The 22883-nt window shown below is 40.7% G+C and overlaps 1 protein-coding gene and 1 long non-coding RNA gene across 2 annotated transcripts, besides 8 other annotated features; one reads left to right on the top strand and one right to left on the bottom strand.

The window, feature by feature from the left end:
• The first annotated feature begins 36 nt into the window (after window positions 1–36).
• MROCKI (MARCKS cis regulating lncRNA promoter of cytokines and inflammation) lies at window positions 37–5371 on the top strand. The gene is given in 3 exon segments (NR_038863.2): window positions 37–390; window positions 2650–2715; window positions 3041–5371. It is a non-coding gene; the product is annotated as an MARCKS cis regulating lncRNA promoter of cytokines and inflammation (long non-coding RNA).
• Window positions 5372–9908: 4537 nt separating this feature from the next.
• Window positions 9909–16039, bottom strand: MARCKS (myristoylated alanine rich protein kinase C substrate). The gene is made up of 2 exons (NM_002356.7): window positions 15537–16039; window positions 9909–13701 (listed from the first exon to the last, which is right to left on the bottom strand). Exons 1-2 carry the CDS (start codon window positions 15636–15638, stop codon window positions 12805–12807), a joined length of 999 nt encoding a protein of 332 aa, NP_002347.5. The 5' UTR covers window positions 15639–16039; the 3' UTR covers window positions 9909–12804.
• Window positions 13616–14159: an enhancer, noted in NCBI's record as "H3K27ac-H3K4me1 hESC enhancer chr6:114180401-114180944 (GRCh37/hg19 assembly coordinates)". NCBI's record gives its function as "activates a minimal SCP1, AML or CMV promoter by ChIP-STARR-seq in naive H9 embryonic stem cells {active_cell/tissue: H9 hESC(naive)}" and the evidence as "EXISTENCE:reporter gene assay evidence [ECO:0000049][PMID:30033119]".
• Window positions 14163–14492: a silencer, noted in NCBI's record as "silent region_17487". NCBI's record gives its function as "represses an Ori minimal core promoter by ATAC-STARR-seq in GM12878 lymphoblastoid cells {active_cell/tissue: GM12878}" and the evidence as "EXISTENCE:reporter gene assay evidence [ECO:0000049][PMID:35858748]".
• Window positions 15795–16338: an enhancer, noted in NCBI's record as "OCT4-NANOG-H3K27ac-H3K4me1 hESC enhancer chr6:114178225-114178768 (GRCh37/hg19 assembly coordinates)". NCBI's record gives its function as "activates a minimal SCP1, AML or CMV promoter by ChIP-STARR-seq in primed H9 embryonic stem cells {active_cell/tissue: H9 hESC(primed)}" and the evidence as "EXISTENCE:reporter gene assay evidence [ECO:0000049][PMID:30033119]".
• Window positions 15958–16007: an enhancer, noted in NCBI's record as "active region_24973". NCBI's record gives its function as "activates an Ori minimal core promoter by ATAC-STARR-seq in GM12878 lymphoblastoid cells {active_cell/tissue: GM12878}" and the evidence as "EXISTENCE:reporter gene assay evidence [ECO:0000049][PMID:35858748]".
• Window positions 16339–16884: an enhancer, noted in NCBI's record as "OCT4-NANOG-H3K27ac hESC enhancer chr6:114177679-114178224 (GRCh37/hg19 assembly coordinates)". NCBI's record gives its function as "activates a minimal SCP1, AML or CMV promoter by ChIP-STARR-seq in primed H9 embryonic stem cells {active_cell/tissue: H9 hESC(primed)}" and the evidence as "EXISTENCE:reporter gene assay evidence [ECO:0000049][PMID:30033119]".
• Window positions 17155–17204: an enhancer, noted in NCBI's record as "active region_24972". NCBI's record gives its function as "activates an Ori minimal core promoter by ATAC-STARR-seq in GM12878 lymphoblastoid cells {active_cell/tissue: GM12878}" and the evidence as "EXISTENCE:reporter gene assay evidence [ECO:0000049][PMID:35858748]".
• Window positions 17225–17284: an enhancer, noted in NCBI's record as "active region_24971". NCBI's record gives its function as "activates an Ori minimal core promoter by ATAC-STARR-seq in GM12878 lymphoblastoid cells {active_cell/tissue: GM12878}" and the evidence as "EXISTENCE:reporter gene assay evidence [ECO:0000049][PMID:35858748]".
• Window positions 18075–18284: a silencer, noted in NCBI's record as "silent region_17486". NCBI's record gives its function as "represses an Ori minimal core promoter by ATAC-STARR-seq in GM12878 lymphoblastoid cells {active_cell/tissue: GM12878}" and the evidence as "EXISTENCE:reporter gene assay evidence [ECO:0000049][PMID:35858748]".

The following is a 22883-nucleotide window of genomic DNA, read 5'->3' as shown; positions in this document are numbered from 1 at the left end:
TTGAAAGTCTCTTGAACTTCGGACCTGGGGGAAGCCAGCTGCCGAGTGAGAAGTCTGACTATCCGGAGATGGCGGTGAGTATAGAGAATTTCTGCTAGGTCTCCTGTGTTTCAGCCATCCCAGCCCAGGCACCACGACACATTATCAAAGGACTATCTTGGACCTTCTCATCCCAGCAAACATCCAATGGAGAAGAATGAAGACTCCAGGCATATGATCCCACTCTAGCCATCCCAGGAGCCCCCAGCTATCCAAACAACTACAGCTGTGGCCAAAAACATCGTGTATCAGGGACAAACTCTCTGCTTATGGCTGCTCTAATCCTTGACCTACAGAATCATGAAATTTGTGGATACGGTCATGATCTTGATTTTGGCGATGGTTTCACAGGTGTGTACCTATGTATGCTTATCAAAGTGTGCACTTTAAAATGTGCAGTTTATTATATGTCAATTATATATAAAGCTGTTCAAAAATTTAAAAATAATTGTTGTTTTATACGACTGAGTTTTCAGGTGGTTTGTAATATGACAATAGATAACCTGAACATGCACTTCCTATGTTTTATGTTTATTTCTTCCTGATATTTATTAAAATAAAAATATTATTAAAATACAAACTTGGCATATAAAACTTTACTAGGTATATTAAGTACTTTTTTTACAAAATTCAATTTGTTTTTATTAAATGTCTATAATCTAGACTATAGATTATACAGTCTAGATTATAATCTAATCTATTATATAGATATAATAGATTAAATGAGTTGGCTTTAAAAAATCACATTATGGATTATTATTGATAATATTAGTATTGTTTTTTACTGAAGTGAATTTCTTACCAGAACAGATTCTAGGCATTTGCACATTCACTCTTAAGTTTCTAGATCCAAGTCCATTCCCTAGAACATATTAGATATTCAATAGGTGTTTGGTAAAAATATAAATGAAATATGGAATAAAATCTAAACCTTTTCTTTTGTTTTAATATCTTTATCTAGTATATCTTAGTTTAAATGTATTGCAAATGATTTCAGGACACCAGTGTCTACCTGAGCTAGATTGCTCTCAAGTTTTAGTTTAATATTCAACCAAAAACGCACATTATAAAACAATGTACCTTCTTTTACAAAAAGTTTGCATGTGATGGAGCCAGGTCCCTTTGAGTCCAGCACCTAAGTGTCTAATCACTAATTCATCCTCGTGACCCCAACAGGAAATAGCATGACCTCAAGTCTAACTGACAGGAATGAGACCTACAGAAGAACAAAAAAGGAAGAAAAGTTAATAATCTTTTTTCTGTCCATTTTCTTCTTTATTGTAGGTCAGATGTACGTGATGGTTACCATTATAACTACATACTATGAAAGATTAATCAGTGGAAAAAAACAAGTTAAAGACACACAAAAAACTTCAGAGAATCAACTTCTGGTCAAAAAAGCCCTCCTTTAGCCAACTCTAAACCTCATTCAACCAATATTCTCTATAGTCTTAGAAAGCATTCAGAAGACATAATATTTTTTAAGGACTTCAAGCAGCAAATGGCAGAAGTGACAAGAATTGAAAATAGAGGAAAATTTTGTTTTGTTTAAAGAATTCTAATTTTAATAATGGGAAGTATGCATCCATATTTATGCCAGATTCATATATATGAAATATATATATATATATATATATATATATTTCATGTAAATGTACTTTTGCTAATGAAATAGGAATTCAGGACAATAAGAAGGTCTAGAGGAAGCACCCTTTATGAGTAATTGGTTTCAATGTTCGTATTCTTGATCTAAACAATAAAAAATCAAAACTGCATTTTCTCAATGAATATGTTTTTCTCTGTTTTAAGTCTCAAGAAGTTATGGTAGAAATGCTTTACAGAAAATATTTTTCAAGCCCGGCATGGTGGCTCATGCCTGTAATCCCAGCACTTTGGGAGACTGAGGCAGGCAGATCACTTGAGGTCAGGAGTTCAAGACCAGCCTTTCCAACATGGTGAGAACTTGTCTCTACTAAAAATAAAAAAAAAAATTAGCCTGGCATGGTGATGCACACCTGTAATCCCAGCTACTTGGGAGGCCGAGGCACGAGAATCACTTGAACCCAGGAGGTGGAGGTTGCAGTGGGCTGAGATGGCACCACTGCACTACAGCCTGGGTGACAGAGCAAGTAAGACTCTGTCTCAAGGAAAAAAAAATCTTTTTCATATGATAATACTACAGCTAGAAAGCTAGAATTCTTTCTTACTGATTGTTATATTAAGTCCTTCCTGTTCACTAAACATTACTAAGCATGAAAAAAATCTTTGTGCTGTGGTAAGAATGCTGAAAAATGTATAATTCAAATCCAGATATATGAATAACAACTTCTCACTATAGTTTGGAAAATAAACTAGTATTGGTATATTTTTTGTTTGTTTTAAATAAACTCATCACTGGAGTTCTAGTAAATTTTGCTTCTAGACCATGTGAAAATTTTAAATTAGAAGCTATATAGCAACTAATTTTTTAAATTAACATAAAAATTCTCATTTAAAATGTTCTGAAAATTTTTAAACATATGCAGTTGCTGTAATTTAATACATTCCTCTGTCTTCTACTGTCACTTAATACATTTCTCTGTCTTTTCTGTATCCCTTGTTTCCCGGCAGTAACTCATGCTTTCAAAATATCAGGAAGCAAATGAGAAAAGGAAAAAAAGACATTCATTGTATATGGTAAGCCAAGTAATGAACTAGCTAGATAGTACCTCAGACACTGGAGGAAAATGGCATTGTTAACATAATTGTTTTTCCAGTTAATAATTAATATTGTATAATCTGACCTTAATCTATAGGCTTCTTTTTCATTATAATCTCACCAGAAGTCCTTAATTCTATTCAAATGTTACCTATTTTAGATGATCTATTGCCTCATCCAATGGCTCCCAGTTTCTCAAATACACTAAAATAAATAGCTCTAGTTGGTGATTTACTTAGAAAGAAATGTTACCCCGTGGTCACTTAAATCTAACATCCTCAAAAATTCTTTTTTTATATAAAGCTGTGAAGTAATCCTGCCAAAGGACACTTTGGGCTCCGCAGTGAGTATATTTTTTCCTTAAAAATTGCCAATTTCTTGATCTATATTCTATGATAAAAGTTTTAATATTTTGCTAAGTTAATTAGTATTGCCTATTGACCAACATGTTCTATTTAGTGTACTGCTTCACCAAGTGCCAACATATACGTCTCCAGTGACTGCTGATGGCTGAGTCTCCTTATGTTAGTAAATTTCTAAACATTTTTCTTAGTACATGGAGTAACGTGTTATGTTGATCAATGTTTGATGACACTTAAATGTAACTACAATGCAGTAATTCGAAGGTAAGAAAAAGTTGCCATGACTCTCATTTCTTTGAAATTGTGTACAATGAAAGGCTTCTCAGCATGATACCCCAACTAAAATTTAGGCGTATGACAGCACTTATAAGTAAATCCATTTTATTTGAGTAAATATTGAGTTTCATTTACCTTTTAGCAAATTCCGAAGTAGCATCTCCATAAATTTAAACTGATTTTACTTATTGAGTCCTATTACTAACTTTAAAAGACAATCTACTTTGGATCATTTTGAGCATCACATATTGCTTACGTAAAATAAGTTTAAATCTGAGTCAATAATGATACTAAGCAAACAAATAAAATCATTGGTCACTGTATTAAGTCTGTTTTCATGCTGTTGATAAAGACATACCCATGACTGGGCAATTTACAAAAGAAATGTTTAATTGGACTTACAGTTCCACGTGTGGCTGGGGAAGCCTCACAATCATGGTGGAAGGCGAAAGGCACATCTCACATGATAGCAGACAAGGGAAAAGAGCTTGTGCTGGGGAACTCCTTTTTTAAAACCATCAGATCTCGTGACACTTATCTACTATCAGCACGGGAAAGACCTTCCCCCATGATTCAATTACCTTCCACCAGTCCCTCACATAATATATGAGAATTCAAGATGAGATTTGGGTGGGGACACAGCAAAACCATATCAGTCACCTTTGGAGAATACTAGAGAATTAACTAACTATTCTGAAAATCAGTAATTAAAGGGAAAGAAGCAAACATTTTTTCTGTCTTTCCATAAAAAATTGTACTTTGAACAACCAAATGGGTGATAATGAAAGAAAGTTCCTCTTTATAAAAGTAACTGAAGAGGCCAGGCGTGGTGGCTCATGCCTGTAATCCCAGCACTTTGGGAGGCCGTGATGGGCAGATCACTTGAGCCCAGAAGTTTGAGACCAGCCTGTGCAACATATCTAGACCCTGTCTTTAAAAAGAAAGAAAAAATTTAAAACAGTAACTGAGCATCAGCTATTGTGGGCACACTGCCTATGGGTAGCCCTGCTCCACAAGGAGCAGTTAAAAAAAAAAGTAACTCAGTAGATAAATGAGAAAGGAATGATAATTACAATAACAAGATGTGGCAATCCTGATTTAATTAATGAATCTAAGCAAAAAGCAATGGCTTTGAATAGAACACAGAAAAGAAACAACTAAATATTATGTGCCTCCTGGTTGAAATATACACAATTATCTATGATTTCATCTTTTGAACCTGAATCTGATCAAGCCTCTAGATCTATTCATCAATTTATATAAAACACAAGAGACACAGAAAAGACAAAGGAATGTACTAAACTACAGCATGAGGTACAATCAAGCAAAATTCATACCATGGAAACTATAGAACAAACAATTTAGTTTCTTGCAGAAATAAATTGCAAGGGAAAAATAAAGACATGGTTAAAGACACTTCGGAGATATGCTTACCAGATGCAATTTATGGATGTGTATTAGCGTTCTCCAGAGAAACAGAACCAAGAGGATATATATGGGTATATAAGAGGGAATTTGTTATGGAAGCCAGCTCACATGATTATGGAGGGTGAGAAGTTCCACAACATCCCATCTGCAAGCTGTACAACCAAGGAAGCCAATGTTGTAATTCAGTCTGAGTCCGAAGGCCAGAGAAACTGGGGCCATTGGTGTAATCTTGGAGTCTGAAAGCTCAATGAAGTCAGGAGAAGATGGATGTCCCAGCCCCAAGAGGGAGAGAATTTGCCCTTCTCTTTTTATTCTATTGGAACCCTTAACAGATTGGATGATGCCTGTCCATATTGATGAGGGTGGTTCTTCTGTACTCAGTTTACTGCTTCAAATGCTAGTCTCTTCTGAAAATTCTCTCACAGACCCACCCAGAAATGTTTTACCAGCTATCTGGCTATCCCTTAACCCAGTCAAGTTGACACATAAAATTAACCATCACAGAATGTTATTTGGATTCAGATTTTAATCAACAAAGTGTGAAAAAGTAATAAGATTATTGGAGAAATTTGTGTGTTGGCTGGATATTTAATGATGACAAGAAAGTTTTCATTTTTGCAGGTGTGCTAATGGTATTGTGGGTTTTGTTGAGTCTTTATCTTCTAAAAATACTTCCTAAAATAGTTACAGAAGAAAAGATTTATAATCTGAAATTTGCTTCCAAATTATCCAAGAGTCTGGTGTTGGGGTTGGGGACTGAGTGGAAGTACAGACAAGGCAATCTTGGCCATGGGTTCATGCCCAAATTTCTTATTCTTATTATAAGGACACCAATCAGATTAGATCATGGACCACTCTAATGGCCTGATTTTAACTTAATCACCTTTAAAGTTCTCTTTCCAAATACAGTCACATTCTGAGGTACTGGGGGTTAAGGCATTAGTGGGAATTTGCAGGGACATAATTCAGTTCATAACAAGTCCATTCAGAATCTTGCTCTGTTTATTTGTGATATCAATGCCATATAAACTGCTTAAAATGGTTACCTTCAATATTGGCTCAAAAGCTAAACTTTGTAAGCTCCTGGCATTAATCACCATGCTATACTTTGCAAAGTCCACAGCCAAACAATCCTAACCACTCCTTCACTTTCAGACTAATTCTATAGTTCTATTTTCTCCAATATGGTAGTCACACATGAACTAGTAAACACTTGAAATGTGGCTGATCCAAACTGAGATGTGTTGTAAGTATACATTACACTGGATTTCAAAGACTTAGCAAGAAAAAAAGAAAGATATCTCGTTACTAGTTTTTGTATTGATTACATGTTGAAATGATAGTTTGGATATACTAAATTAGATTATTAAAGTTAATTTCAGCTGTTCCTTCTTCCTTAAAAAATATGGCTAGTAAATAACTTTAAAATTATGTGCTCACTTTATATTTCTATTGGATGGCACTTTTCAAAAGTACAGGTACCTGTCATTTGACCTAAGATTCGCTTCAAAGACTTTCTTTGACTTCCAATTTATAACTCTCCCCAATAATCCCTTTCCTTTTTGCACCACACATTTAATAACCTAGGTGCAGAATTCTAGCGCTATATGCAGTCCTTAATTCACATTTCAAACCTGAAGAACATGTGCCTACTTCTCAGGCAGACAACATGTAATGCTAACTGAAAAAATGTCACTGAAATTTGTTATATTTATTGAAATCCTAAGTGATGGATAGTTCTGTTGCCTTTTACCATTTCCAAGGAAAAAGAGAAGCTATAATAATAGCAATTGACAAAGATACTCTCATTTTTCCTTTACCAGTGGTACTAGATATTCTCAGGCTGCCGCAGTGGCTTACACCTGTAATCTCAACACTTTGGGAGGCCAGTGTGGGAGGATCACTTGAGTCCAGGAGTTCAAGACCCCATCTCTACAAAAAAATAAAAAAAATTGGCTGGGTATGGTGGTACACGCCTGTAATCGCAGCTACTTTGGAGGCTGAGGTGGGAGGATCACTTGAGTCTCAGAGGTCGAGGCAGCAGTGAGCCATGATTGCACCACTGCACTCCGGCCTGGGCGATAGAGTGAGACTCTATTTCAAAAATAAATAAATAAATAATGTAAAAAAGATACTCTCATATTTCATTTATAAACAACACTAGAAAAAGTCTTATGCCCCAATTTTACCAAAACACTAGAACTGGGCTTAATACAGATTTCTAGAAATTTTTGCAATACTTACATATTTGCAGCTGCTAAATTTTGTGACAAAGATAAATACTTCATTTTGCTTAAAAGTTGATGCTGAGAGGAGGAATTGTAGTTAGGAGTATTTCAGCATCAGTAATTTTTTACTTTTTCAGGAACATAAAATATGATTAACATCCACTGCTTGTATTTCTTGGCAGGCTCAGTTGTATCTTACCCAGATTTTCATTTTAGTACAATTAATCCATACAGGTTTAATTAGGTAGATTTAAATGCTTATCAAATGAGTATACTTATTTGGCAGCACAACAGTGGCTCGAAACCTACAGGATTAAAAACTTTGCATTTTGGCTTATCATCTATATCCCTGAATGATAGTTTCCACAATCATCAAAGTAATCTTTAAGAATTGCCAAGAAATCAAATAATGAAAATGTCTGTTTTTAAAATAATTTTAAGGCACTGAAATAGGAAAAAAAAGGTTTTTGGAGAGTCAAGTTTTTATCAAGACTCCTTGTAATTAGATCTCTTTTTCACATCCTTAATTTTGATTGTCTCCTGTAAAATTATCCTTATTAAGTCAACATAGAATCTCAGAATAATTATTTTTATAGTTGAAGTATCCTTCCAAACATTTCCTCAAGCAGTACTTTTGCAGCATTTTGGGGTAATTGGATTACCCATTTGGAGGATTGAGATGGAGGAAAAAGGGGAGAGGGAGAGTACCCTGTTACAGAGAAAGCAAAATACTATAGAAGTGGATTGCTGAATATCTTGTTCCTTGAATGCACTTCAACACTGCACATTAGTAAGCATTATAAAGAATCAATGCAAACATTAATTTAGCTTTCTCAACATTACAGTCTGTAAATGAAATTCTTTAGATTTAAATTGATTACTATAAAAGGTTTACTTTTTTTCCCTTCTTGTATTTCCAAGGGCATACTATGCCACTTAGCTGTGTATTTAACTTCATTTAGCCTCTATCAAGGACCTGAAACAAAATGCTTATAAAGAATGCTATTTTGTCTTGGCGCGGTGGCTCACGCCTCTAATCCCAGAATTTTGGGAGGCAGAGGTAGGCCTGCTTAGGCTGGAAGTTCGAGACCAGCCTGGCCAACATGGCAAAACCCCGTCTCTACGTAGAACACAAAAATTAGCTGGGAATGGTGGTGCATGCCTGTAATCCCAGCTATTTGGGAGGCTGAGGCACAAGAATTGCTTGAACCCAGGAGGTTGCAGTGAACTGCACTCCAGCCTGGGCAAGAGTGAGACCCTGTCTCAAAAAAAAAAAAAAAAAAAGCTCCTATTTTGATACTGGATGGTTGTTAACTTTGTAATGTGGAGTTTGAGACCATAATTACCCCAGAATTCTATAAAGAGTTACACAGTTTATTTTTGAACATTCAAATTTCAAGTCTCATAAGCAAAAATTTAAAAAAATGTTTCATTTACATTTTCAACACCAATCTATAAAGAATTTTCTTTCTTAAGAATGAAATACAACTTATATATCTAAATATGGGGCTTCCCTTACAGTGGTCTTGAAAGGTTTATTCATTAATTTAGTTGATGCTTTTAAGATTCAAAGTATTTTTAGAATTTAACAAGAAATGCCTATTATCCAGAAGACAGTTTTTCTAAATGATGCCAAATCCTCATCTTTTGAGAAAAGGTATGGCTTACAGTAAGTCATTATCACTCAAAGTATTAGGCAAGAGATCAAACTATGTATTATCATTTTTTCTTAAATATGAGCCATAACTATAAATAAGGAGTGATTTCCATATGTCTCTGAAAGAGAAATTTCAGAGAACCTTTTGGGTTGAATAAATTCCAGACAAAAAATTGATCTGTTTCACCTACCTACAACTTAAATGAAGAACATATGTAAACAAGTAACACTGAAAAGATTGCTTTTTATAATTCATTAGTGATTGGCATGTTACTAAAGGTAAAATAGAAAAAAAGATAATCTCATCAGTTTTAGTCAACTACACCCAAGTATATCTATTGAATACTTTTAAAATATTGAAAACATATAGGAAATCCTAAAGTTGTTGAAATTGACACCTAATCTTTTAAAAGTATTTATTTTCCATTTTCAGAATAGCATTCTTGAGTATAATTTAAAAAGAGTGCTGGAACTTGAATCCCCAACAGGGGGGACTGGAACATTTACAGATTAAAAGCATTTTAAAATTCCTGTGTGGCACACTCTACTTTCATAGGATGTGGAGAGGGGAAAAAAATGCTCAATATGCAGTGAATGATTAAAGGGAAGTTAAAATCTAATAGATCTCTTACTTACTTTTAAAAATTTTCAAACTTGACTGAGGCTACATTAAACTATACTCCCCTACCAACTGCTAGTCAAGGATCTATCTAAAAAATATGACTGCATGTCCAGGGATGTGTGGTGGCTCATGCCTGTAATCCTAGAACTTTGGGAGGCCGAGGCAGGAGGATCGTTTGAGCCCAGAGTTCAAGACCAGCCTGAGCAACATAGTAAGACACCTGCCTATAAGTAAATAAATAAACATATATATATATATATATATATATATATATATATATATATGGCTGTGAAAAGTACCTTACCCCAAATCCTTAACTTTAATTGAAAAGATATATTGTTTATATTCATATGATAAAAAAATTGCATTGTTTCTCAAATATGTTATCAAGTTCTATCGTTAAAATTTTTAATTGGCTTGGGGGCATACAACTCACCTTCAATGGATATAATTTTATTTGTTAAATATAATGCCAAGCATATCATTTAAATCTCTTAAACTGAATGCTTACCTTTAACACTTAAGATTTAAAAATTTTCTCTAAAAATATTTGCATTTTAAAATAAAATTTGTAAAAAAAAATCCTATTTTAGCAGGCTTGATTATATCAACTGGTAAAACTTTATTTTACAAGCAATAGGAATTGGATCAAATGATTATTATAACCCAGAGGAAGTATTTTGTAACCACAGCAAATGCCATTATACATACTGCCAATACAGATTTAATAGACAATACTGAACTGTACAAGAGTTATTTATTTTTCCTTAATCTCAAAGCTATTTTTAGTAATACAAAAAAGCCATATTAACATTTTTTTCCGTTAGAAAACATGATGTACAAAACTTTGGATGAAAAGATACGTCAAATTTCATTTAATCACTTGGAGGAAAATCCACCAACTCCATCAATACCACCCAAAGTGTTTTAGGCAGTGAATAAAATCAAAATAATGCATCTTAATAAATTCCAGCTGTTAAAAGAACAAACTTAGCAATATATAACAGTTTGCTAACAGGATTTTTGACTATTCACTTTGGGAGTTATTTTTAAAAATCCACTTTTTTACTGAGTCTTACTACATACCAGGCACTGTACTTGGCCATCTAGGTAACTAAGAAAACGTTGGTTAAGATAGGAAAGACCCATAAATCAGTCCTTTGGTTACCAAATTCAATTTTTAACTTTCAAACATCCTCCAAGATCAAGAAACCCTAACTAAAAATACATACCCTTCTAAGTGTTATTTGATTTTATTAGTAGCAAGGGTGTTTGGTAAGGTCATGAACCACTATTTTTGATCCATTATTCCAATTAAGAATGCGTGTCAAAACCTAATTTGTTATTTTTCTAATGAGTTTAAGATTTGGCATTCAGTTGTTACACATGTGGTTCAATGATTTATCATGAACCCTAAACTGCACACTGCTCAAAAACAGCAAAACAGATGTGCATTAAATGAAATAATGTTTTTGATACATATCTTAAATTTCAATCAGTTTAGGGTCCTTTGAAGGAAAAGATATCCAGTTATCGGGTGGCAAAGAGCAGAGGAGGTAAACTAGTAAAGATTATTAAGATTCAGTGAAGTATTATTGTCTGTCTTATCCTTTGAGTAACAAGATGCTAACACACTTTCAAAAAAAAAAAAAAAAAAGGATGCTTAAAACTATGCTAAAGGCCCATGAACTGACATCATCCATTCAACACCATTACTTTGTTACATAAACCTGTTTTCTTAAGGTAGAACATATTATGCAATAATTTGGAAATTAGCCAAGCACTAAGCAATTACAATAGCAGGTAATACACCATCAATTTTTGAAACACATTTGGTCACATTTCATGACCCATCTGCAGTATGGATTCTATAGACTCTCACTCAGTTTAAAATTTGTTTCTGGACCTGAATGACAAGAGAATGGCTTTATGAAATTTTCTCATAAGACATTTAAATAGTCTTAGGTTCACACCCCTTTTGTTGTAAATGATTTAATCTGACATGCTATATAGCTACAATAAAAATAATTATGTTCAATTCTTAAATGAAAACTAAATGCCAATAAATGGTAACAGATTTGACATGGAAATGTTGTAAGATCTTCCTCTACGTAATCTGACACTGCGGATTATGAATTTCAGAGCTTGAAAACTTCAGATTAAGAACCACAATAAAATTTACTCCTGATGGCATGCAAGATCTTCCTAAAAATTAACCTAAGACCTAGAAGTCTCAGTATTATTAGAACATAAAAAAACACAACAAATTTGTACATTTTATTCACATTTATTTTTCGCTTTTAGTGTGCTCACAGAAAATTAGAACACCTTAAGCAGGAGTTTAATAGCAATTTTTGTAAGCAAAGTTACATTCCATCTCTAAGTCAAATTGGTCAAAGCTTCTCCAGTATTTACAAAACATGATAGACAAGATGCTACACAAAACCATTGCATCTGAAGATTTTTTTTCCTTTATTCTCAAAGACGACTGGAAAAGAAAGCATTATCTGCTGTAATCAAAAACATACCACAGTATAAACAGTAACCATTCCACTTATCACAGCTTGGTTGAGTTTAAAATTTGTGTTTTAAAAGGTCCAAGATGACTGCAGTTTTACAAAAATGGGCAGGGTGGAAAGTTGCAAACTTCATGTGCTTCTGGATATCAAGATTTGTTTTTATACAATAGTCACAGTTAAAAACACCCTGCTGGTAATACATAATTACACTTTATTAAGGTCATAAACCAGCAATAAACAATAAAGCCTATACAACTTGTAGTTCTACTTAATCACTGACTGGTACAGCTAACATGAGATAAGTGAAAAGTTCCTATGGTTTAAATGAACTCCTAAGACTATGATCGTTTTTTTTTTTTTAAATCTGGGTATTGGTGTTTTTTCTTTTTTCCTCTTTCCTTCTTAACTCAAGACTTGTAGTGTTGTAAACCTGCCTCACAAAATACATGGTAATAACTTTTCTTTTAAAAAAAAAAAAAAGACAGCCTTTACACCATTTCTAGTGGCACACTATTTTGGCAATGTTATGCACCACTTCAATTTCCCCATTGTGACCCCATCACTTCATTTGATATCCCTTTTTGACCCACCCATCTCCTTCATATATGGGCATGTCCATAGATTGACAAAGAAAGTTTACACTTTTGAATAAAGATGCAAAGTATGCAAAAACATTAATACTGATGCGAAAAAATAAAAAATAAAAGAGAAACAAGGCAGAGGAAGAAGGTGTTTAAGCTCTCCTCGACCTGTTGGAATGGTGGTTAACAGAATGATTTGAGATGGGATCTGTGGGGAGGGGAGAAAAAAAAAAAACAACAAAATTTGGTGCTTAAAAAAAAGTAAAATAAAAAAAGACATCTTTAAAATCAATCCCTGGTTGTAGACAAGTTCTCCAAAACCAGTACCTGGCACCACTCCAACAAACAAACGGGGGAGAAAAGTTCTTCGATTATCTCACAAAAGCTTGCTCTTTTACTCTGCCGCCTCCGCTGGGGGGGCTTCTGGACTGCACTCGGGCTGGGCCTCCTGTGAGGGGGCTGCGCAGGCTGACGAGGCTGCGGCGGCCGCGGGCTCCTCCGCGGGGGCTGCCTCCTGCTCCGGGGGCGCGCCGGGCCCGGCGGCGGAGGGGGCCTCGCAGGCGGCGGCGCTGGCCCCGGCCTCCTCGGCCTTTTTCTCCTCCACCTTGCTGGGCTCCTCGGCGGCCTTGGTCTCGTCGCTGGCGGGCGGCTTCTCTGGCGCGACAGCGGCCTCCTGGGGCTTGGCCTCCTGCGGGTCGCCACCCGCCGCCCCCTCCTCGCCCGCTGCCGCCTCCTCGCCCGGCGCCGCTGCCTGCTCCCCGGAGGCCGCGCCCGCCTCGGCGGCGGCCGCAGCTGCGCCCCCGGCGGCCTCGTCCTTGCCGCCTTCGGCAGCGGGCGCCTCAGCCTCACCGCCTTCTCCAGCCTCCTTCTTGTTCTTCTTGAAGGAGAAGCCGCTCAGCTTGAAAGACTTCTTGAAGGAAAAGCGCTTCTTTTTTTTTTTCGGGGTCTCGTTGCTGGGCGAGGGCGTGGCCCCGTCCTCGGCCTTGGGCGAAGAAGTCGAGGAGGCGGCCGACGCGGCCTCTCCCTCCGCGGCCGTGGGCGAGCCGGGCTCGGCAGCCTCGCCTTCCGCGGGGGCCTCCTTCTCTACCGGGCTGGCCCCGGCCTCGGGGGCAGCGGCGGCGGCCGGCTCACCTTTCTCGGCCGCGGAGGGCGACGCCGCCCCGCTCCCGGCGGCCGCGGGCTCCTCCTTGTCGGCGGCCGGGGCGCTGCCGTTGGCCTGCAGCTCCTCCTTGGCGCCCGACTCGGCGGCCGCGGGCGAAGCGTCGCCGTTTACCTTCACGTGGCCATTCTCCTAAGGGGCAGAGAAAGCGGGAGCGTCACTGAAGCGGCCGGGGCGCCGCCATTCCCGCCCCCAGCCCTGGACCGGGAGTGCCCCGCTTCCCCCTAAGGCCCCTGTGGCCATCGAGACCCCACCCCCGCCGTTGTGGGGAGGGAGGCGCGGGTGGATGCCCAGAAGAGAGCCCCACGAACGAGGAAATGGGCACCGCTGCCTGGAGACCCCCCGAAAACACAACTGTAGCCCCCAAGTACGGCAATGGCCTCCCAGCCATTCAGCAAGTGCCCTAAAGACGAAGTCCGAAACGTAGCAAGCAAAGGCTAACCATGCCAGCCCTCGCTTTATCGGGGGCTTGGGGGAAAAAAGGTGCCAGGGACTAGTTGACACAGCAAACGCCCTTTGGAAGAAGGCACAGAGCCAGAGCTGGTGGTTCGCGCCTACGTTTCACATCCCTCTTTCGCCCTAAATACATAAAGGCCTCTTCAAAATACCAGGAATTCCCAGGGGGATCACAGCACTCGAGCCAGGAGCGCCCGCGCGGGGCCCTCCGAGCTCCTGCGCCCACCCAGGCCTTTGGCACCGGCAGGGGGCGCTGTGCCTCCACCGCGCCGCGTTGGGCGCAGGCAGGCGAGGAGGGGCGGAGTCGCCGGGCCACCCCGCCCTGCCCAGCCGGGCCCTGCCCGCAGGCCGAGGCGCCCCCGAGCCCGGATCGCGCAGCCCAACAGTCCGCAAACAAAGCTCAGGTGGTTTCCTGGCCTGCCGGTCGGGCTGAAACCAACAAGGCAGGGGGAAACCCATTATTTCTGAGGTCTCGCCTCTGCTTCCACGCCCACCTTCCCCTGCGATTCTGCGAAGCCTGGGCGCGCCTCGGCGGCTCATTTTGCATTTTTAACGGGTTTAAAGCCTCTTGGCAGACCTCGCTTTCCCCAGTAGGTTAGAGCAGGCGAAGCGACACGATCTCTTCTCTAGGAAAAGAGGCGTGGTGGGTGCCCAGTGTTTGCGAAGCAGCCACCCATGGCCGACCTCTCGGGTCCACCCAATCGTGGCTATCTGCCTGGGTCCGGGCAGCGCCGGGCGGCCCCTCGCGGGTGGTCGAGGCGCCACGCACAAGAACAATCCCGACCGAAAGGCACGAACCGCCTCTTTTTGACCATCTGGAAAGGTTCTTAAAGGACCCACCGAGTGTTCCCACCCCACAGATACCATTTAAAAATCAAATGGATGTGTAATTCCACAGACAGCTACGAATAAAGATTTAGGACAGTGGGAAAGCCTCATCAAAAGGTACCGAAGCCCTCTGTCTGGCCCCAGCCAGCCACCTTTCCAAGAACCCAGGGCACGCCGCCGCGGCATACAATAAGACAGCCTTTCCCTCCTCGCCTTTCTCCACCACCATCCCCATTGCGCCCCCCTTTCCCGACTCCCCCCCCCGCCACACACAATCACACCACCAGTTCAGAAATCTCGAAGACAATCCAGCTTCGACAACAAACCCGAGAGACACCCAAACACCATTGTGCCCCCAAACACAAATGAAACCTGGCTGGGGGCGGGGGAAGGAGGGCACCTAGCTAGTCACGTTCTGCCAATCTCCAAACCACGCCATTTTAGACGATTTATCACTCCTTTCCTCCCGTCTACTCAAGAATTCTCCAGGATTCTAAGGAACCACTCCTTTGGTGTGGGGGGACCCCGGCTATGAAAAATCCACAATTTAGGCTATCCATTTCCATTCAACTTTCAGACTAGAATCCAGCCACACTCCTCTCCACGAATGAGCCTTGGGAGCCACCAGGAGGGAAGGAGAGAAAGACACGAAATAAATGACCACAACCACAGGTAGAATTTACCTGTCCGTTCGCTTTGGAAGGCGACGAGGCCACAGCCGCCTCCCCAGGCCTCTCCGCGGCGGCTTCTCCCTTCGCTGCGGTCTTGGAGAACTGGGCACCCATGCTGGCTTCTTCAACAAAGAAACTCAACAGATCCAAGAGGGGAAACAAAGAGCCTCGGGTTGGTGTAACGACGGGGCGAGCAGCAGCAGCAGCGGCGGCGGCAACAGCGGCAGCGGCACACACACCGGAGGGAGGGGGGTGGGGGTGGTGGAGAGGACAGAACAGAACCGATTAAATACACTCCGGATAAAAAAATTTTAGTCGAAGAGATCAAAAAGCAGCAGCACAGGAGGGAGGGAAAAAGGGTGGAAAAGTCGAGCACAAAAAAAGGAGCCCAAGTGTAGTTCGAAAAAAAAAGAAGTAATAAAAAAATCCCAGATTTGTAGCCGCACTGTAGACAAGAGGAAAATGGAGAAATCTCCCTGGTTGCTAATAAGATGCGGGGTCCAACGCCCAAGTGCACAGATGAATGGGCTCGCGGGCGCTGACGCGGCCCCCGCGCGCGTCGGCCAATCCGCGCGCCGCACACAAAGCAGGGGGCGGGGTCTGCGCGCCTGGCGAACAATGGAGCCGCGCTTTGCAAACGGTTTGAAAATCAGCCTCAGACCGAGAATTAATGTCCTCCAAATAAATAAATCAATTAAAAAATACATGGCACTCGTCTCTCTCTGCTTGAAAATAATAATGCATTTCTTGATTGGCTTGCTTTGTTTGGAATTAATTAACACGGGAGGGGGGTACTTGTGCATCGGGGCGGAGAAAGCGTTAACTTGACTCGCATTGACTCTCGTCGGTCTATATCCGTGTGTCTCTCTCTCTCCACTCGCTCCCCTCCCCCATCTTTCCGTGTGTTTATGTGTATGTGTGTGTATGCGAGTGTTAAAGACAATGGTTGCGATTTGTGTGTTTGCAGCATGTTTTCTTTCTTTTTTCCATATTGGTTTTACAGATAATGCTCAGGGTTTGTTTTTTGAACTGCTGCAATGGTTAAATCGTCCCAAATTGAAAGGTATTTAAACCACGAAGATCGAATTTCATCAAGCGAGATCGCAAGTTAGAATTAGGTCTGTAGGCCAGATGTGGAAAATGCAAAAGCGGCAAACAGCGAAGCCACACTCCCTTCCCTCTCCCACATTGGCATGAAATAAAATATTTTGAGATTGGCCTTGGGCGCTCAACAAATTCCCCCTTCTCTGGCTATTCCCAATTAGTGATTTTTTTCCCCCACAATTCAAAGTGAGAGCCATTTACAGAAGATCGAAACTCTTCGCGTTTTATCACTGTTTTAAATGACATAATTTTCCTCTATGGTGAAATGAGACACAGCCTCGAGTAGACGAATCCATATTTACAGTTGGGATGTTATTCGCGTCAATATGGATCGTTTTCAGCCTACTGCCAGAATCGAATGGACTCTTTTTGAACGTGTGTGTGAGTGCGCACGCAGGCGAATGTGCTCCTGAAAGGAAGGGAGGCAGCAGCAACGATGACATTCTAAACCGGATTGCAGTTCTAAGGAGAAATGTTCTGTATGTTGAGAGATAGCAAGATCCCTGAGCTCTCCAAGTCTAACTTGGGTTAGAGGAAAACCTTCTATAATGGTACACAGGATACCTCCATCTGTCACTGCACTCCTTGCCACCGAAGTACCAGACGCTTTTTGTGCGTGAGAGACAAGGCACTGACTTAAAGTATGAGGGGTGAGGGGAACCAAGGAAACAGCTTAATAAGCATTTTCTTCCCAAAGTTTTCACTCGTGGCAAAATCAGACCACCTTTTCTCGTTTACATTTGGTGATCTTGCAAGGAATAATCTTTCGCTTATGAAGGTGAGAAGCAGTCGAGGGAATGGTTCATTTCTCCTGGTGCTGGCTCTGAATTCTCAAACAGTTTTATTTTCTGCTCATTGTAGGGAAATAGGTCACACTCTGAGTGAAAAAGACGGTTGGTTCAAGCCAGTAACTCTTTGTTCAAGCGTTGCTTTAAAAATCACCAAGCTGAACATTGTTACGTGAAGCTTCGTCTTCTCACTGTCCAGTTCCTTCAGATGCATTATTCGACCATGGTCATATTCCCCAGAGCTGATGTAAAGACGTTTCCGTAGAAATGCATCTTGCCAGCAAACGTGTTATTACCCTTAAGAGAGCCCGCTGGCCTGGCCCACGACCCCAGCCGCCAGGATGGACGCAAATCCCTTGTATTAGCAGTTCCAACTTGAAAAGCCAACTGGGCTGATCCGACACCACCATCCAGGCGATTCCCAAAAGCCCATTTAAGGCTCTTGATTTCCCCCCACCCCCAACGTGAATCATGCCCCTTCCTCCGCATCCCCCTCCTATTTTAAATTGGGGTGACTGCTAGCTCGCTTTCAGATTTTCTCCCAGACGCGTCCTTAGCCCTCCATTTGGGGGCTGCTTTTATTGCTCCTTTGTTACCAGGCTGCCGTGTAGCTTTCCCCCCTTTTCTTTCTGGTACGCCTATTTGCCTGGTATCGGCTGGTCTCCCTGGCAACGGCCGGGGAAGATTCGGAGCACTGGGCCGGGGAGGGGGAAGAGGCGGAGCCGGCGCTGGGGGGTGACGGTGGGGGAGACGGGGGCTGGGAGTGGTGGAGGGGAGAGGGGCCGAGTGAGAGACTGGGAGACAGACTGCGAAGCAGATGGCCGCGCGAGGGGGCGGGGTGCGGGCGGGGTGCGGGCGGGGCGCGGCGGGGGGACAGTCCCAGCGTCAGGGGCGCAAGGGAGCCAATCAATTCCCGCAGCAGCTCCGGGGCAAAAAAAAAAAAAAAAAAAAAAAAAAGTGTAAACACATAGATTCCCTCCCCACGAGCGGTCTCGGTCTCTAGTTTACAGTAGAAAGATGATTTCTTTTTGATACGCAAGCGCATTCTACGGTAGCTGGAAAGCCGACAGTCCCCAGCAAGTGGCAGGCGGAGGCTCCTTGGGGGCGCTGCCGGCGGCCGCTGAGGGCTGGGCCACCCTTTCCCCAACCTCCCCCAGCGACTAGCGTCGTCCAAGCAAGGGATTTCTTCAGCTTATAGGGAAGGGGGTCCCGGCGGAGGATGGGTGAGGAAGAACGGGCTGGGAAATGGGAAACGGTTGTGGTTCTTCTTGAAAACCTGCATAATGACAGGGAAGGAAGGCCAAGAACGTGGAACTAGTAGGGAAGCAGTACAGTGCAAGTGTGGCTCGCTCCTCAGGAGTTTGGTGTTCTCACACGCAGAGTTAAAGGTTTCAAATAAAGCGCCAAAAGTGTTTATATAAATATGACTAAAGAACCCAAGAGTTCATAGTGAAAATGTAAAACCGGTGTCTGTAACCAAATCAGCAGGAAGAAACGGTCATTTATTTTTTATTTGTACTCCACTTTCACCCTGCCCTAACATATTTGCAAGATAATAATAATCGGTGTATAGGTTTCTTTTTAGAAAAAAAGCAATTTATTTAAGAGACCTGTTATTTTTCTGCAAAATGTTAGCGTTGGAAAGAATTTTAGAGACCATTCCACAAAATCTTGAGGGCCCAGTGTGCCAAACACAATAATCTAGATCTTGTTTTCATATCATTGAACAATATAAACTCAGTCTCTGACCTTCAGGGGCTTCCAATTTAGAAGATCATCTAGTGAAGTTGAACTGGAGCACCTGGCTTCCCCCTCTCAACGATGAAGAAATAGGCACCAGAGCGTTGCCAGATTTCTCAGATGGTAGAGCCACGAATAGAGCTCAGCCCCCTTGATGATTCTGAGTCCTGGCTTTTTCCACCACTGCCAGTGCTGCCATCTTCCCTTGATGGCACAGATTCACTCAGTAGGTCAGTCATTCATTCTTAAAGTATTTATTAAGGTCCTCCTAAGTGCGAGGAAAAAGGCTTTAGACATCAGCTTACACCAGGGACAAATATAGACATGGTCTTTCCTCTCATGCAGCTTACATTTGTATTATTATTTCTTAAAACTTCTTAATATGTGAAGAAAGAAAGAAAAACAAGATTAACTGTGTGCTTAAAAAACAATACAAAAGATGACAGCCACTTTGTAGATTCCAAATTAAATACGCCTTTTTCACCTGGAAGCATTCATGCATTCACAACATATGCAATCCCACTGTGCAGGCAGTGTTCTGCTCCATCCTTCATCTTAGATTTTATGCTACTTGAAATTTAATTCCACAGAAATTGATTAGCTTGCAATGTGGTGGGGAGGAAAACAGACATAGCCCCTCAGTTCACTCGGCAAGCATTTATTGAACTCCTATCATGTAGTAGGCATTTGGGATATGTCAGTGAACAAAACAGACAAGAAGTCTTTATAAAGCATACATTCTTGGGTGGGGAGAAAAGCACAAGTTAAAAAAATGTAAGTCAGCAAATTATATGAAATGTTAGAAGTCTGTAAGTGTTGTGGGAGAGGTGGAGTGGTGGGGGAAACTAAAGCAAAATAAGGGAGATGGGAGTTCAGGGGAGAGTTGAGATGTAATTCCATATAGGCCGGGAAAGGCCTCATTGAGAAGACAAACTTCGAGCAGATTTGAAGAGGTGAGGGAATTAATAATGCAGATGGCTCACTCAAATGCTTCTAGCCTAACAAGAGAGGGGAGAAGCCAGCATTTAACAATGAGATCACAGACTGAAATATAACTTTAAACCGTCACATGTACTTTTAACGAAAATAGGGAGTACATGTGACCATTTGAAGTTCTATTTTGTGCTATAAGATAGTATAATTTCATTAGGAGGGTTAAAGAAGGCCTTTTGAAATAAGTAACATTTAAGTGGGAACCTAAGGGAAGAGTAGGCATTAGTCAGGTAAAGAGGTGAAGAGCTGTGTTCAGATGGAGGAAATAGCAAAGCCCATGAGGAGGAAGAGTTCAGCATGGATTTGGGAGGAAGGTAGAGAGATGAGTTAGAACATATTTTCAGATTCCTGTAAAACGTCTCAGTAGAAGAGTGAAGTTCACAGATGTAAGTCTGAAGTTCAAACTACAGTTTTGAATGTAAATACTGATTTGTGATCATTCCACATGAAAATATTTTTAGAAGCCAAGTCACAGGAAAATGCAAAAGATAAGAGATTACAGAATGATGCCCTGAGTAATTTCTGCTCTCAGAGGATCCGTAGAAAAGGAGCCAAGATGGCAAAGAAGACTGAGAAGGAATTCTCAAAGAGTAGACAGAAAGCCAGGAGAGTGTGGGGTCAGGAAAGTCAATAAAGACAGTGTTTCAAGGAGGAGTAGTGAGTTTTGTCAAATGCTGTTGAGTGTTCAAATGAAATACTGAGATGTTTCCATTGCATGTTGTAGGACAGAAACTACTGGATACAGGCTCCAGAGCAGTTTTTGTAGTATGTTGAGAGTGGAAGCTGGATTTCGTGTGTTGAGGATAAAATGGAAGATGAAGAAGATGATGGCATAGTCACCTCTTTATAAAGCTGGACTCAGTAAAGGTTTAGGGAGACAAGGCAGTAGCTGGAGAGGGCTGGGACGGGTTGAGCATCCCTGATGGGAACATCTGAAATCCAAAATCTGAAATTTTTGAGTGTTAATATGACACCACAAGTGGAAAATTCCACATCTAGCCTCATGTGAGGGGTCATGGTAAAAACACACATACATGACACACAGTTTATTCAGTGTCTCCAAGGAGAAAAAACATCCCCCCAGCCCCTGTCAGCTGCAATATATGTTTTCTTTGCACGTCCAGATTCCCCCATGCAAGCACACCACAAAGGGTACTAAAGTAGTTCAATGTACACAAATTTTTTTCACAATGTACATAAATTTCAATGTACACAAATTTTGTTTCATGCACAATATTATTTAAAATATTGTATGAAATTATATTCAGGCTATGTTTATAAGTATATTTGAAACATAAATAAATGTCGTGTTTAGACTTGGGTTCTCATCCCCAAGATATCTCATTATGTATATGAAAACATTCCAAAATTCAAAAAAATCTGAAATCTGAAACACTTCCGGTCCCAAGAATTTCAGATAAGGAATGCTCAACCCACTTAATGTTTTTTTGGCTTGTGTTATGCTGTCTTGGATGGAAGGCATCAGAGCACATTTAACTGATCTGGAAACTAATACAGTAGAAAGGAAAATGAAGATACAAGAGGAAAAGGAATAAAGAATGGAAAAACATTTCTGAGAAGGCAGGAAGGGATGGGGATATAGGGCACATGCTGAAAAATTGGGTTTTAAAAGACATTCTGCTTTTTAAAATATTCTGTAATGAGAGAACAAGAGGATGGCTATAGATTTGCTGGTGGGAAGATGAGAAAGTTTCCCTCTGATGGTTTCTATTCAGCTAAGAGGAAAGAAGAAAAGGGAGAGTTGCAGTTTGATGACCTTATAGAAGGTGTGGAATAATGACTGGGAGGCATAGGATTGAGACTTTTGGGCATGGTAAGACTTTAGAGCAGTAATGAGGGCCCATTTGAGGTTGATAAATCTCAAGGATGCTTAATCAATATATCAAATATATCTTTCTACATCCTCTTTAATATTACCAGCCATTCACTCTTTTAACCTATGCCCAATTTTGTTATATCTATAAGTCAATATTTGCACAAAAATAGAATATAGATTAAAAGACAGTGCTATTACAAAGCACAATGTCAGTTAATCCTATATTATTTCATACAGATATACATAAAGAGGAGGAGGGAGGGAAGATAACCTACTCTGTACCAGGGACAGCACTGTGTGAGTCCGCTAGGCTTGTGTTTCACCCTTCCAACAGAACCTGAACTTGTATCATTTTCCCATTTTACAGATTTGGAAATTGATGCTCAGGAAGGTTTGGAAAATAAAGTTCAATAGTGTGTTAGCCGTTGTTCATTGAAGTCTATCTGCCATCTAGGAATCCAATAAGAGCTCAAATGGTTGTAATAGGCACAGAACCTTATATGTAGTTGGAGTTTTTTTTTTAAATTAAAAAATAGAGACAGGGTCTCACTATGTTGCCCAGACTGGTCCCGAACTCCTGGGATCAAGTGATTCTCCCACCTTAACCTCTCAAAATGCTGGGATTACAGACATGAGCCACTGCCCCCAGCCTGTAGTAGGAGCTTTATTAGTTTTTAAAATTGATACTAAAACTGCAAGCTTCTTTACTTTTAGACTTTGCTTTAGTGCTCTTTATTAACTATCCAGTAGTACTCAAATAGAAAGATTCTTTCATAATTAGGAAACATCAGAGTCACTGCTTATCTGTCTGAAGAATCAAGAACTAACACATCTACAACAGGAGTGATGTTTCTGGCATGTTAGATCTCCACATGGTCGGAATAGGTGATCACTACA

The sequence above is a fragment of the Homo sapiens genome, chromosome 6 (genome assembly GCF_000001405.40).
Source record: "Homo sapiens chromosome 6, GRCh38.p14 Primary Assembly".
Taxonomy (NCBI): Eukaryota; Metazoa; Chordata; class Mammalia; order Primates; family Hominidae; genus Homo; species Homo sapiens.
The sequence above is the reverse complement of the archived record's forward strand: the minus strand, read 5'-3'. Positions and strand labels throughout refer to the sequence as shown.

Bases quoted from the DNA above. Each gene is read 5' to 3' on its own strand.
- MARCKS (NM_002356.7), bottom strand. From the start codon at position 15,638: ATGGGTGCCCAGTTCTCCAAGACCGCAGCGAAGGGAGAAGCCGCCGCG. The intron at 13,702-15,536 runs GTAAATTCTACC...TCTGCCCCTTAG, and splicing joins CTTCCAAAGCGAACGGACAG to GAGAATGGCCACGTGAAGGT.